General features: G+C 39.5%; 1 protein-coding gene across 13 annotated transcripts in view; it reads left to right on the plus strand.

Moving 5' to 3' along the window:
* The window catches only part of SASH1 (SAM and SH3 domain containing 1), a 358,577-nt gene that overhangs the window by 288,901 nt on the left and 53,175 nt on the right, over nt 1–16,501 (plus strand). For all 13 annotated transcript variants that reach the window (XM_017010599.2, XM_024446384.2, XM_017010600.2 and 10 more), the window contains one exon: nt 5,246–5,347. In XM_017010599.2, the coding sequence (XP_016866088.1) occupies nt 5,246–5,347 (102 nt within the window). The remainder of the gene's footprint in view (nt 1–5,245; nt 5,348–16,501) is intronic.

Genomic DNA, 16,501 nt, shown 5'->3' on the forward strand with positions numbered 1-16,501 from the left:
TAATCAATAAGTATTACACATTGATCTGATAATGTATGTATGTGAGTCCAACAAGACCATATCTGTGTGAAAGTCAGAAATAAAGTCCTTTGGAGATGAAGCAAAGAGCACTTAATGTTTGTCATTGACTGTCACTGATGTTTTGGCATGGTGAACTTTTTTTTTTTTTTCGAGGTAGGATCTTGCTCTGTAGCCCATGCTAGAGTGCAGTGGCGTGATAATGGTTCACTGCAGCCTCGACCTTCCAGGCTCAAGCAGTTCTCATGCCTCAGCTTCCTTAGTAGCTTAGACTCTAGGCATGTGCCACCACACCTGGCTAATTTTTTTTTTTTTTTTTTGAGAGAGAGTCTTGCTCTGTCGCCCAGGCTAGAGTGCAGTGGCGCGATCTTGGCTCACTGCAACCTCCACCTCCCAGGTTCAAGCAATTCTCCTGCCTCAGCCTCCCAAGTAGCTGGGACTACAGGCACGTGCCACAACGCCCAGCTAATTTTTGTATTTTTAGTAGAGACAGGGTTTCACCATGTTGGCCAGGCTGGTCTCGAACTCCTGACCTCAAGTGATCCACCTGCCTCAGCCTCCCAAAGTGGTGGGATTACAGGCGTGAGCCACCGTGCCTGGTTCAAACTTTTCTTAATTCAGGTGTCATACATCTGATTCCCTGGAAGCACAGCCTGAGATAGGGACTCTTGTGTATCTTAGTCTATTTAGTGTTGCTATAAAGGAATACCTGAGACAGGGTAACTTATAAAGAAAGGAGGTTTATTTGGCTCATGATTCTACTGCCGAGAGATTGGTCATCTAGTGAAAACCTCAGGCTGCTTCCACTTATGGTGGAAGGCAGTGTGTGTGCAGAGATCACTTGGTGAGAAGAAACAAGAGGGAGAGGGGAGGTGCCTGGCTCTTTTATAACAGCTGCTATTTGGGGAACAAATAGACTGAGAAATCACCTTCCCCACCCCTCCCCAGGGTATTAAACTATTCTTAAGGGATCCTCCCTCATGGCCCCAAACACCTCTCTTTAGGCCTCCATCCCCAATATTGGAATTCAATTTCAGTATAAGGTTTGGGGAAAGAGACATCCAAACTATATATAGCATTGTGCAAGTGGCCTGTTGAAAGAAAGCTTTTAAGAGAAACCTCTAAGTGAGGGAGAAGGATGAAGTTGGACAGAGATGTGATTTCAGGAGGAGTCTAGCCTCACTCAGCCTGATTCCAAAGGGAGTGGGGAGCCCTGGAGGGTGAATGGCATTGTAGAGTTTGTCATGCCAGGGATGAGATGTCTGAAAGCTGATTGGGGATGGGGAGCAGCCATCTAGATATCTTTGTGGAGACAGCTTCTTTTAGTCATGTTCTCTAGAGCAGGGTATGTGAATTTATACCTATAGGATATTCTTATAAAGTCATTAAGGTAATCTGGGCATCTGGTATACCAGAGCACAAGATTATGAACCAGGAACCTAGATGTATTGTTGAGTCATTTCCTTATAAAAGCGACTGTGCATCAAATCACAGAGATTTGGACACATATAGAGTCCATAGGAGGTTTTTAAAAAATTGATCTCATGGGGAGAAGTTGGAAAGGATTTATCTCAAAAGAAGCAGAAAAGAACTTAATCACAGTCTTCAAGTGCCTGAGGGTTGTTAAAGAGTACATATTTCGGATGTCCTGGAGAATGTTTGATTGTTTGTTTGTTTTTTAAAATCTCTACTGAGGACAGATTAGAAAGAAATGAATTTAAAAAGCAGCTGGAGTGGATTTCGGTTTAATATAATGTAAATGCTCTTTATAGTAAGTACTAGTAGAAATTGGAACATTATGATATATCTCTCCCTAAAGGTCTCCAAGATGGAATAAGCATTACTCTTTTAAAGATGGCCATCATTCTAAAAAAATCATGTCATGGACTTCAACTGTGAGAAAACAATGAGATTTGGGAACACAGGATGTGAGGGAATGTTTTTGCTTAAGACACACACACACACCTTAAAATGTCATTATTTTATAACTCCTGGAATTAATGTAAAACACTACAGATTTGCTTTAATATACATTCTTTAATGAAATTACAAATGGTCATGCCTTCATGAAATTATAATTAAACCAAAACTTCTCGAACCAAAGTGGAATATAAAAATGTAATTATAACAGGTAATTATCCATGTAATAACCTGTGTAATTACATGGGTTTTTTTTTTTCCTGTGCAGTGCACTTAAAAAAAAAATAGAGAGCTTGTTTTGTAACTTTAAAACACTTAGAGTTGTGTAATTAGGATAATTAAAAAAAACAGTTGCCAGGTGCGGCGGCTCACACCTCTAATCTCAGCACTTTGAGAGGCCAAGGCAGGTGGATCACTTGAGCCCAGGAGTTCGACACCAACCTGGGCATCATGATGAAACCTCATCTCTACAAAAAATACAAAAAAATTAGCTGGATGTGGTGCCATGCCCCTGTAGTCCCAGCTACTCGGGAGGCTGAGATGGGAGGATTGCTTGAATCAGGGAGATCAAGGTTGCAATGAGCCGTGATTGCACTACTGCACTCCAGCCTGGACAACAGAGCGAGACCCTGTTACAGAAAACAAACCAAAAAACCAGTTAAGTAGCAAAGTTTGGGTAGGGCACAGAATTAAAATCTCTTTCAGAAGAGCACACATAGTTTTAGGCCCCAAAGTAGATAGCAGAGATGAGCATACAGCAGGAAAAAAAAATCGTCATATATGATTGACTAGTTAGAAATTTGTACCTGTTTTCCTTAAAGCTGAAAGTTATTTAGTGGCTCCTAGGAGATGCAGCTAAGGTTGGATATAAACATGGACTAGAGACCTGAAGACATAATAATCTCATGATAATCCCATTTTCCAACGGGCAGATACTCTCAATCATACAGGGAGAATGTAGCATTTCACAGGCCAATATATCAAAATGGAGAGAACATCCTAGTGTATAACATAATGTAAAGACTGGAACAATCCAAGTGTCCCTAATGTAATGGAAATATTAAAGTGATTAATACCTCTAATACCCAAAAGTTTAAACATGTCAAGTTAATGTGAACTTTGAGCTTTCTTTTCTCTGAAAGCACAATGGTAATAATAATAGTATTATACTAACTCTATTGCTTTGATACAGTGTGCTGAGAGTTTTGCTGCATTATCATAGTTAATTCTGGTAACAGCTCTGTAAGACAGATTTATCGTCATGCCTGTTTTCCAGGTGGAGGAACCGAAACATAGAGGGGTTAAATAATTTGTCCTCAGGCCTCCCAGCTGGTATTTGGTTCTGCATTCAAGCTCTTACTCAATAATCAATACTGCCTACCTCCTCCCACATACATGCAGAAAAGAATTTCGCAGGTTGAAATCACAGTTGTGAAAGTGGCTTTTTCCTGGAGCAATAACTGTCATTGTAGTGGCGCTACCACATCCTCAAGCTCCAGGGCTTCGGGATTGTCCAGTCACCATCACGTGGGCAGGCAGGTTCAATTATTTCTGTTTTTAAGTTGCTTGGCACATGGAACATGATTTGATCACTGTCTTAAATTCATATGTGCACACTGCTTTGTAATAGGGTTTGAATGCAGTGACAATTGTTTTGAACCCCAGAGCTCAATTTCTGTGTAACACTCTCTCACATATGCCATTCTGAAAGATCTCATCTTGCTAAGTTAAATTTGCTCACTTATTTGGGAAGTATAGTAAAAGACATTATAAAAAATTTTTAAAAGTAAATCTGCTCACTTTGCTATAGCCTTTCTTTCCTTTCTTTCTTTCCTCGGAGTTTTGCTCTTGTCGCCCGGGCTGGAGTGCAGTGGTGCGATCTCGGCTCACCGCAACCTCTGCCTCCCAGGTTCAAGCGATTCTCCTGCCTCAGCCTCCTGAGTAGCTGGGATTACAGGCATGTGCCACCAAGCCCAGCTAATTTTTGTGTTTTTAGTAGAGATGGGGTTTCATCATCTTGGCCAGGCTGGTCTCGAACTCCTGACCTCAGGTGATCCACCTCTCTTGGCCTCCCAAGGTTCTGGGATTACAGGTGTGAGCTACTGCGCCTGGCCTGCTATAGGATTTCAATTGTCTTTCTGTGTTTTTCAAAAACTAGAAACCTTGTTTCTGAACCTAAACTTTTAATATCTCTAAGATCTCAATAGAGAGACCATCCTCAAAGGTCTCCAATAACCCCATCACGTTTGTTAGGTGATAACATGGGACTAGCAACTTGAAGCCATTTTGAACAAGACAAACATGTGATTGTTAAAAATCTGTTTCAGGGTCGGGTATGGTGGCTCACACCTGTAACCCCAGCATTTTGGGAGGCTGAGGGGGTGGAACACTTGAGCTTAGGATTTTGAGACCAGCCTGGGCAACATGGCAAAACCCCATCTCTACAAAAAAAAAAAAAAAATACAAAAATTAGGTGGGCATGGTGGTGCATGCCTGTAGTCCAAGCTACCCGGGATGCTGGGGTGGGATCGCTTGAGCCTGGGAGGTCAAATCTGCAGTGAGCCATGATTGCACCACTGCATTGTAGCCTGGGTGACAGAGTAGAGACCCTGTCTCAACAACAACAACAAATATATATATATATATATATATATATATATATATATATATATATATATATATATATATGTATTTGCTTATATATATGTTTTTATATATATATTTGTTATATATATTTGTTTTATATATATGTAAAAAACAAATATATATATATAACACATATATATACACACACACACACACACACATATATATATATATATATGTGTATGTTTCAGGGTTTGACCCCATTTCACTAAAATGTCTGTAGTCTGTCATTTTCTCTTCCTAAAAAGGGCATGCATGTTTTTGACTTACACACTTGGAAAGGTAATTCAGAGGCCAAATTACAGACAATTTCTTTATAATCAGGCTGAGGAAACAGAAGTTTTGATGTTGGAGGGGGAAAGTGAAAATTCTTTCTGGAACACAGGATACAAAGAGTCCATTTTGCCTGTTGATTTGACTTAGATGAAAACCCATAGGGCAGGGTACTTGTCTTCCTCTTGGTTTTGGGAAAGGTGTCTTTGGCTGGTACTTAGTTACCAACACTGGCATGAAGAAGGTACCCAAAGTGATCTCTGTGCTGCGTGAGCACAAGATTATGAACCAGGAACCTAGATGTATTATTTGAGTCATTTCCCTGTAAAAGGTCTGGCCAGTGTCTGGCCATTCTTTCCATTTCAGTATCCATTTCTTCTTGTTACAGCTCAAGGAATACGAGGCCCAGCACCGGCAGTCGGCTGCCCTGGACCCTGCTGACTGGCCAGATGGTTCTTACCCAACGTTTGATGGCTCATCAAACTGCAATGTGAGTTTATCATGTCTTTGACATCTTGATCACCTACGCCGATAAGGGACAGTCTTCACCATTTTAGTCTTTGTATTTCTTTTCGAAACTTCCGACTCGCACCTGGGTCTGCAAAGAGGTGTCTGTTCATATAGATTGCTTATTTTCTCTACCTGACAGAGACTCATCTACAGTCAAAATAGTGTTATCATGCTGGGGTTTTGTTTTTTTTTTTTTTAATTGCAGTAAAGTATACATAAGATGACATTTACCATATCAGCTATTTTAAAGTGTTCAGTGATACTGGTACTGTTAATGATATTGATCATTAAGTACATTCACATTGCTGTGCAACCAGCATCATAATTTACTTCCAGAAGTTCTTCATCATTTCAAACCGAAACTCTGTTCCAATTAAACAATAACTCTCCCTACGCCCCCGCCTCACCCACCTCCACACACACCCTGCCCCTGGCAGCCACCGTTCTACTTTCTGCCCCTGTGAATTTGACACCTCTCAATAGCTCATGTAAGTGGAATTATACAATATTTGTCTTTGTGTGTCTGGTTTATTTCACTAGCATAATTCTTTCAGGGTTCATCCACGCTGCAGCATGTATCAGAACTTCATCCCTTTTTATGGATAAATAATATTCCACTCTATGTGTATACCACATTTTGTTTATCCATTCATCTGTTAATGGACACTTAGGTTGCTTCCAGCTTTTAGCCATTATGAACAATGCTGCTCTGAACACTGGTGTACAAGTATCTCTGAGTCTCTGCTTTCAGTTCTTTTGCACATACCTAGCACATACCTAGGGGTAGAATTTCTGGATCATGTAGTAATTCTGTATTTACCTTTTTGAGGAACCGCCATATGTTTTCTCACAGTAGCTGTATCGTTTTACCTTCCTGCCAACAATGTACAAAAGTTCCAAATTCTTGCCTTTCTCATCAACACTTGTTGTTTTACTTTTTTGATAATAATTATCCTAATGGTGTGAAATGGTATCTCGTGATTTTGATTTGCATTTCCCTCAAGCATCTTTCACATGTTCATTGGCCATTTGTGTATCATCTTTGTAGAAATGTCTGAGTCTTTTGCCTGGTCTTCAGTTATGTTGTTTTGCTGCTGTTGTTAGCTTGCAGGGGTTCTTTCTATTTTCTGGATATTAATCCCTTATCAGATATGTGATTTGTAAATATTTCCTCCCACTCTGTGGGATGCCTTTTACCTCTCTTGATAGTGTCCTTGATGCACACACTTTTAAATTTTGAAATCTAGTGTGTCTATTTGTTTTTTTGTTGCCTGTGCTTTTGGTGTCATATCCAAAAAATCATTGCCAAATCTAATATCATGAAGATGTTGCCCTCTGGTTTTTTCTGAGGGTTTCATAGTTTTAGCCTTTAAGTTTAGGTTTTTGACCTGTTTTGAGTTAATATTTGTATATGATGAAATATATGGGTCCAACTTCATTCATTTGCATGTGGATATCCAGTTTTTCCAGAACCATTTGTTGAAAAGACTGTCCTTTCCTCATTTTATGGTCATGGCATACTTTTTGAAAATTGATTGATCATATATGTGATGATGTATTTCTGGGCTCTCTATTTTATTCCATTGGACTATCTCTGTCATTTTGCTAGTACAATGCTGTTTTGATTACCATAGCTTTATAGTAAGTTTTGAAATTAGGAAGTATGACACCTCCGATTTTGTTCTAGTTTTTTAAGGTTGTTTTGGCTATTTAAAGGTTCCTTGAGATTCCACATTAATCTTAGTTTGAGTTTTTCTATTTTTGAAAAATATATCGTTGGGATATTGATAGGGATTGCATTGAATCTTTAGATTGACTTGGGTAATATCATTTTAACTATACGAAATCTTCCAGTCAATGAACATAGGGTATCTTTCCATTTATTTATGTCTTCATTAATTTCTTTCAGCAGTGTTTTGCAGTTTTCAGTATATAAGTCTTGCTTCCTTAATTAAGTTTATTTCTAAGTATTTTATTCTTTTTGATGTTATTGTAAGTGACAATGCTTTTTAAATTTTTTTCAAATTGTTCATTGCTAGTGTATAAAAATGCAGTGGATTTTCATGCATTGATATTCTATCCTGTCACTTTGCTGAATTTATTAGCTATATAGGCTGTGTGTGTGTGTGTGTGTGTGTGTGTGTGTGTGTGTATAGTGTTAGGGTTTTCTATATATAAGATCATGTCTTCAGGAGGCTGAGGTGGGAGGATTGCTTGAGCCCAGAAGGCCAAGGCTGCAGTAAGCTGTGATTGTACCACTGCACTCCATCCTGTCTTTAAAAAAAAAAAAAAAAAAAACAAGAAAACAAGATCATGTCTTCTGCAAAAAATAATAATAATAATAATAATAATTTAACTTTTTCCTTTCCATCTTACGTACCTTGTATTATTCACACTGTTTCAATATGACCAAAACAGTGCTTCTTATTCTACAAGTTCCATAGGGATGATAGGAATGAAGGCTCCAGAATTTCATATAGGCTTTTTTTTTTGATAAGAGTATTGCTCTGTCACCCAGGCTGGAGTACAGTGGCGCGATCTCAGCTCACTGCAACCTCCACCTCCCAGGTTCCAGTGATTCTCCTGCCTCAGCCTCCCGAGTAGTTAGGACTCAAGGTGTGCACTCCCGCACTCAGCTAAGTTTTGTATTTTTTAGTAGAGACAGGGTTTCACCATATTGGCCAGGCTGGTCTCGAACTCCTGACCTTGTGATCCACCCACCTCGGGCTCCCAAAATGCTGAGATTACAGGCATGAGCCACTGCGCCTGGCCTCATACAAACATTGTAGGGTGCCATCTTCACAATGTGTGGAGCAGAAACAGAAGGAATTACCTCTTTTCACGTATTATATAGTTGTGTTTTGTTTTTTAGGTTATCTCATCCTTAAAATTTGGAAACTACCCCATCTCCCTGTCTTCAGTCTCTTGTCTTTTCCTATCTATGTTCCATACAACCAGTCATCTTTGTAAAACATCCCTCTGTTCTTGCAGTTATGTTTTGAAAACGCTGATGGTTTTCCATTTCTATAAGATAAATTCCACCCTTCTTGGCACACTTAAAATTCTATGTGATCTGGCTTTAATCAATTTCTTAAATCTCATATTCTATCTCCACACCCAATAGCCTATACACCAGACATATTGGACCCCATATGCATGACTGAACAAACCTTGTATTTTTCATTCTTCTGCCCTTTAACTCACATAATTTTCTTTATCTAAAATGTTTTCCTCCAAAATTTTCCTGGTAAAAATCTGAGTTTTTCAAGGTGGAGTCCAACTGTTCCTTGCTCTCTGAAACTTTCCTTCCCGTCCTCAAGCGTATTTATTGCTACCTATTATGTGCTTTTGTTAAACTGGCTTTATAGATCAAACTTAAAGAATTATCCTAGAATATCAAAATTGGTTGTACATATTTCAGCCTCCTTGGAAATAGTGACCCCCTTGGGCAAGAAAGACTGTATTCTTTGTCTCTCCAATGTCCAGCTCCTATAGAAATATTTCAAGAAGAGCATTGTATTTGAACATTCATTCTTTTTTGTTGTTGTTGTTGAGACGGAGTCTCACTCCGTCGCTCAGGCTGGAGTGCAGCGGCATGATCTCGGCTCACTGCAACTTCTGCCTCCTGGGTTCAAGCAATTGTCCTGCCTCAGTGTCCCGATTAGCTGGGATTATAGGCATGCGCCACGACGCCAAGCTAATTTTTCTATTTTTAGTAGAGATGGGGTTTCACCATGTTGACCAGGTTGGTCTCGAACCTCTGACCTCAGGTGATTCACCCGCCTCGGCCTACCAAAGTACTGGGATTACAGGCGTGAGCCACCGCACCTGGCCTGAACATTCATTCTTCCTGGCTGCCTTAAGAGCATGTTTTATGTCTTGCAACTACAGATTCAGTCTTTACCTTTTTTTCTATCTAAGCAACAAATGGCAGTTTATCAGAAATAAATATAATCCTCCCATCATCTCCCAATTTCCTGAATCAAGCACCAGATTTCCACTGCAGCTAAAAAACAAAGGATTATGAATCTGAAAGCCCTGCCTGGTTTACTTTTGTGTGAAAGTGACTGAGACATTACCGTTTATAATAATAAATGTGTCATAGGCCAGCCAGCAGTGTGTCCCGGGACGATGAGGTAATCAAAAGAGCCGTGTCCATGGTTATCAATGTGCCTTTTTGGGTCTCTAATCCTCAAGTCCTGAAGTCTAACATAATATAGATGTAAATCACGAACCTAAAGGATCATGAGAAATAAATACAGTAACTCAGGACTGATTCAAACCCAACTTGGGGGAGAAAACAAAGACCCAGTTGTCCATACCGGGTCCCTTAGTATCAGACCCACTGTATACTGCCCTGATTAATAGCATCTGAGTCAAGGGAGAGGTTAGAAGACTTTGTCCATTCAGAGAAACAGGACTGTAGTAAAACCTCACACACTTAGACTTCAAAGAGAGAAGCTTGTTTTGTTTAGGAAAAAGTTAATATAAGTATTATCAAGCATTTAGAACAAGCTGCTAAGAAAGCATTATTAAGCATTGGTTTATGAGACCCCTTTCAGAGGGCTGGTCAGAACCATTAGCTAGATATAAATTGTGAGAATGAAATGGGTTCTTCTTAATAGTTGGAACATTTCATTCTCTTCAGCATTTCTTTATTCATTTGGGAGACGTTTATGGAGCCCTTGCTATATAGCAGGCATTGTGCTAGATGTTTGAGTTATAAAAGTAAAGGAGAAAGAGAAAGGTCCTTTTCTGACAGTTTATGCTGTAGAGCAGAGGTTAAAATCACATCCATGTGGCAGGGCACAGTGGCTCACACCTGTAATCCCAGCACTTTGGGAGGCTGAGGCAGGCGGATTACCTGAGGTCAGGAGTTCAAGACCATCCAGGCCAACATGGTGAAACCCGGTCTCTACAAAAATACAATAGAAAATTAGCCAGATGTGGTGGTCTGTGCCTATAGTCCCAGCTACTTGGGAGGCTGAGGCAAGGAAATCTTTTGAACCCAGGAGGCGGAGGTTGCAGTGAGCCAAGATCACAGGACTGCACTCCAGCCTGGGCAATAGAGCAAGACTCTGTCTCATAAAATATAAATAAATAAATAAATAAATAAATAAATAAATAAATAAATAAATAAAATCACACTCGTGTATGCACACAGATTTGAGATGCCATATACACATTTGCATTACTAACTTCTTACCAAACTATTTCTTCATAGATGGCCCGCAAATAAATTCAGCCTGTCTTAGTTAGACCTAGGGCCAGAAATACCATATGCTTCCTCCTCTCAGAGCACGGTCTTCCAGAAGTTCTGAAGAGTGACTTCTCTTTTGGCTGAGAGGCGTAGGTGATGATAGGCTAGTCAGCAATGCAGTTTTTTGAAGCAGTTGATTTACTCTGTGTATTTTGCTAGCTGACTTTCTGCCAACACCCATGCCCACCTCTGGTCATGCTGTTCAGAGCTACAACCCACCACCATCACCACTGAAGTTTGCTTGAACTTGATTGTAATCCTAAGGTATATATATGACCCTTGCCCCTCTTACTCTGGCTTTAGCCTGTTCTGCATTTTTATGAAGAGTTGGCCAGAAACCCCATCCAAAATATTCATTCTCATTATTTTAGATTTTCCTCTGTGGCAGAGCAGTTAATTTCAGAATTCAGCCACCACGGGTTATAGGCGCTTTGAATATTTTTTGTGCAAGAGCCGGAGCTTTTCTGTTTTCTATCGATTCCTTTCTAGAATACAGAGATGTGAATAGCCCACTGGCTCGAATCAGGAATGCCCAGGCCATGAAAGTTTTAGGGATCACAAGGCCTTTGTCACCAGACCTCAATGCCTATATTGATGCCTGTCATGCCTTAGGATTTCATTTGCATTGATTTCATAGGCTTCCCCACCCCAATCGCTGAAATTAGATAATCGCGTGTTGCCTCACAATAAATCCATATGCACATTCCTAGTTTCCAAGAGTGTAAAGTACTAAAGATAGTTACCAGGGGAAGTGAAAAATAGATTTCCCTTTGCCAGAGAAGAATCTGTTTTGTGCTGTTTTCCATTAATAATAAACTTCTGTTGGGAGTGCTAAAAGTTTTAAAAGAGATTTTTGGTTGAGAGCTTAGCTCGATTTCTTATTAAATGTCTGCACATTTATTTATTATTTTTCATTTTAATTTAGTTTGGTAAGTTTATTTTTTCCTTTGCCTCCTGCAGGGAGGGGTGATTGTAAGAGTTCTCAAGCTTTGTGCCCTAAGATTCAGTTTATTTTCTAGTTAAGAAGACATTTAAAGAAATTATGATCTCTGTTTTACCGGGTTTTCTAGTTTTTTGCTAATGTAAGTTGTAAATCATGGTTTTTCTGTTTTTAGAAAGCTGGTGGGTAAGAGTTAGTGATCTATACCTGGTACTTGAATATTAACAAAAATGTTTGCTGTGAAAGATCTTTCCAAATGAAAGGTCATTTGATGGCAATCTTATTTAAAATTTTTTAAGAATATATATAATGTATGAAGAAAAATGAAAGCAACAACCATGACAACAAAGCACAAGATGGGCTAGAGTCATCTTTACCGTTCAGTAGATTTTTCACTTCATAGCAAAATGTGTTCCAGGAAAAGCTGGAATTGTGTTTCTGTAGCTGGAGTTCCTTACCAGGATGGAGGACCTCTAGGGAAATGTTGTTTTGAGTGAGTAAAGCAAGTCATCGTTTCATAACTGATCACTTTTGCTTTTGGGGAGTTTTAGAGTTGGGAAATATTTGTGCAAAGAATGTTATACAGGAGGCTGAGGCAGGAGAGTCGCTTGAACCCGGGAGGTAGAGGTTGCAGTGAGCCGAGATCACGCCACTGCTCTCCAGCCTGGCGACAGAACAAGACTCCGTCTCAAAAAAACAAAAAACAAAAACAAAAACAAAAAAAGAATGTTATAACTGTGGGCTTGTGGCCTTATAACACCACCTTACCTCCATGTGTGCACTCTTCATAGCCTTCCATTCAACCATATGTACATTTTTGTCACTAATTTGGTTTGAGGTAGAGAGAGCCATGTGGTTGAACTGTGTCCAAAACTTTGGGCCACAGACACAGAATGCCGTGGAGCTATTTTCAATGTTTCCTTGATTGAGGACTTCCAAGGTCTCAACTAAAATATCCCCAGATTATAAGATCTTTTAGTTGGCACCTTTTAAATCTTTTTGGGACTTTCTAAAATTGTAAACCATAAACATGTGCCTCTCCAGTGGCCAGGTTTTACTTAGAGTTTTCAATGTCCTTTCACCAGCCTCAATAACAGACATTGTCTTCAAGCCAGAGGATTTAGTTTCGAAGTTTTGGAAGGAAAGGTAGTCACAGCCCTAGTCGAAATAGAACATTCTGAAAGATAATTTGCTAATAACAATTCTGGTATGTGCCGAAAGCCAGGGCACCGGCAGAAGTTCCTTTTAAGTGGTTCTTGTGGCAAATGGCTTAATTTCCATTATGACACAAGAAAAGGTTAACAGTGTAATCCCTTTTTATAGAATATGGCGGAAGAACAGTGCACACACTCATAAGGTGGCCTGAGCAGTTGTGATTTCACTGCTTTTTGGAGCAGAGTGGCAGCATCCTTCTACTTGTATAACCACTGTCGTCTTTTATAGAATCTGCTATTGTGAGCTCAACTCAAAATTTTAAAGGTTGACTATTCTTGCTGTGTTTATTTTGAATTTTATTTTATTTTATTTTTTACTAGAGTAACTTTTAGACACTAGGTTAAAATTTACCAGATGTTTTATTTTTACATTTCAAAGGTGTTAACATATAAACCTATATCATTAGCTTCATCATGTGGAAAAGTCTGACCGCAAAGATTTCTTTAATGGCAGCATATGATGAATTTACAAAATCTGCTCCCACCTATAAATATTCCCAGCAATCTAAAAAAATGTGTACAATTTTTATAGTTTTGCTGACTTGGATGGCAGTGAATATTGATTAGATGCATAAATTATGTGAAGAGTGACACATACTGTAGTACTTCAGTCGGCGTTGTAGGTCCGGTGAAAGTATCCCCAAGAAAATGATGGATTTTATTTCTACTGTCTTTGTCTTCTTGTAATTATTCATTTATTTTTTGAGAAGGAGTCTCATTCTGTCACCCAGGCTGGAGTGCAGTGGCACGATCTCGGCCCTCTGCAACCTCCACCTCCTGGGTTCACGCGATTCTCCTGCCTCAGCCTCCAGAGTAGCTGGGATTACAGGCGCACGCCATCACGCCTGGCTAATTTTTTTTTTTTTTTTGTATTTTTTAGTAGAGACAGGGTTTCACCATGTTGGCCAGGCTGTTGTCGAACTCCTGACCTCAGGTGATCCGCCTGCCTCGGCCTCCCAAAGTGCTGGAATTATAGGCGTGTTTGATAAGGAAGTTTAAGAGAGGATAGATTCCAAGTATAAAAATAACTTTCATTTCTGAATAAGCGTTTTGCTTTTTAATGGTGTTTACTTTTTTTTCCACTGCATCTCTTTTCCTAAGGGATCTTTTCATAACTCTGAGTGTGTGGGTTTAAATTTAAAAGGGTTCTAATTGGCAAGATGCTTTTTGGTTTACAGCTAGAAAATGGTTCTACTTATTAAAGCTCTAATAGTTGTCTTAGGCTCATGTTCTTCAGTTCTTTATTTCTCACACAGAAGAGTTTACTTGTTTGACTTGTAATATGACCAGGAGAAAGAAGAAACAAAACATAGCAATAATTTATCAGAAGGCATTTATGCCCTGTATCCTTGGGATAGGTATCAGCAATTCTGTATACGATGCATGCAGTATTACCTTGTGTAGATGAACCCTTTTCAAAAATCTTTCTACATGTAACTATGTTAAAATTAACTTTTATTGGCTGGGTGTGGTGGCCCATGCCTGTAATGCCAGCACTTTGGGACGCTGAGGCAGGAGGATCACTTGAGGCCAGAAGTTCAAGACCAGCATGGGATCTACATAAAATAAAAAAGTTAGCCGGGCATGGTGGCACACGCCTGTAGTCCCAGCTACTCAGAAGGCTGAGTCGGGAGGATTTCTTGAGCCCAAGAGGCCGAAACTGCAGTGAGCTATGATTGTACCACTGCACTCCAGCCTAGGTGACAGAGCGAGACCCTGTCTCAAAAAAAAGAAAAAAAAAAAGTAAATTTTTTAAAAATATAAAATAATGTATACTGATCTTAGTCTTTTAATGTGTTTGAGACCTTCATATGATTATTCTGATTTTTATGGATAATTCTTATAAATTTTCATTTTATTTCGCTGGGTAGGAGATTATAGGAGGAAGTATTACTCTGTATTTTAATAAAACCATGATTCTGAAACTAAAATGATAGTAAAATAAGAATATATTAAAGTTCTTACTAAAAGAGTAAAAGTAATAATTCCTTTAATCTACAGCTTAGGGTGAGACTAAAGGAAAAATCAGTCCATTGGAAAAATATACATAGTGAGAGGTTTTGAGAAATGCCCGTTTTGTTCCGTCTGGTTATAAGCTGCCCAGGAGCCATTGCTTAGGTGGCTTCTTGTCACTTCTTCTCTTCTGCCCTCCCATTCCCAGTCTTTTCTCTGGGACAGGGGCCAAAGTTTTCAGGCATGTATTTGTTGAGTCCCTAAGATCACCATGTTTCCACAAAGTTACACAAGAAGGAAGCTGTTGCCTCTACTAGGCCCTGGAAACCAGGCCTTCACCCTGCGTGGGCAAGAGAGGAGACTGGTTAAGCTCAGACTTGAGTCAGACCTGGGGCTCAGATCCAAATCTCCCACCTATTAGCTCTGTATCTGTGGCCAGGCACTTCATCTCTTTGTTATTTGATGTGAAGATCTTCTGCCCTTCCCGTCAACTGTCATTCTTAAAATACTTGAGTTCCCATAAAAGTGCTATTTTTGTACATGCCATTAACATGGTAGTAATGGCTTATATTCATGTATCAGCAGATAGGCTAGAATTGTCAGAACAAACTTAATGTAAAAGTGCATACTTGGTTACACTTTTACCAAACACATAATCAATTTATTTTCTATTTCAGAAGGCATTATTGTGTAAGTGGGTTTAAGGGTGGGTCTGGTATGATTTTAGTAAGCATGTTTGGACTTAGTACTGTCTGTGAAGTGTAAGTAGTTATTGTACTGAAATAATCTAGGGCCCTACAGTGCTGATGACGTCGTCTCATGGAGTGTGTGGGTGTGTGTTCCATACCTGTTATGTCGGAAGGCACTCTCATGGCAGGCCCATTTGGCTCTTTGACTTTGGGAACTAACCAGGCACATCTTTATCATTACTGATTTCTGCAGTTTCAGGAAGTTGAGGGTGCTTGCTGCTTGGAGGCCTTCCTCGACATATCAAAGGCTGGCTGGGCGTGGTGGCTCACACCTGTAATCCCAGCTTTTTGGGAGGCCAAGGTGGGTGGATTGCCTGAGCTCAGGAGTTCTAGACCAGCCCGGCCAACATGGTGAAACCTCATCTCTACAAAAACAAACAAACAAAAAAAAAAAAACAAAAAAAACAAATTTAGCTGGGCATAGTAGTGTGCATCTGTAGTCCCAGCTACTTGTGGGGCTGAGGCGGGAGGATTGCCTGAACGAGGCTGTAGTGAGCTGTGTTCATGCCACTGCACTCCAGCCTGGGTGGCAGAGCAAGAACCTGTCTCTAAAAAAGAAAAAAAAAAGAAAAAGAAAAACATATCAAGGGCCACATTGATAAAAACAAATGACAAAATAACCCAGATACTATATAATCTGAGGATACCTATTTTTAAAAAATTAATTTAAGATAGATTACGGATACAATTTGGTCTGTTTCTTTCATTTGGTTGAACCTTGTGGAACTCGAGATACTAGACAGCTTTTGACCTATAAAAGTGGTGATTTCCTTTGTCCAACCTAATACATACATACCACAGAGGATATGCCACATTTCCCCTGCTAGCTGATTATATTTCAGTACAGATATTTGTAATCTAATTTGGTTTAGAGATTGGCATTTCAGTTTGCAATCCCAGTTTTTTATTGTGCTCTTGGGAACAACGCTGGGGAAGTTGGGGATAAGAGGATTTCCATTACTTGTTCAATGTTACTGATTGATTACATGTCAATTCCTTGTTAAATCATTTGCCCTAG

This window comes from Homo sapiens, chromosome 6 (genome assembly GCF_000001405.40).
Source record: "Homo sapiens chromosome 6, GRCh38.p14 Primary Assembly".
Classification (NCBI taxonomy): Eukaryota; Metazoa; Chordata; class Mammalia; order Primates; family Hominidae; genus Homo; species Homo sapiens.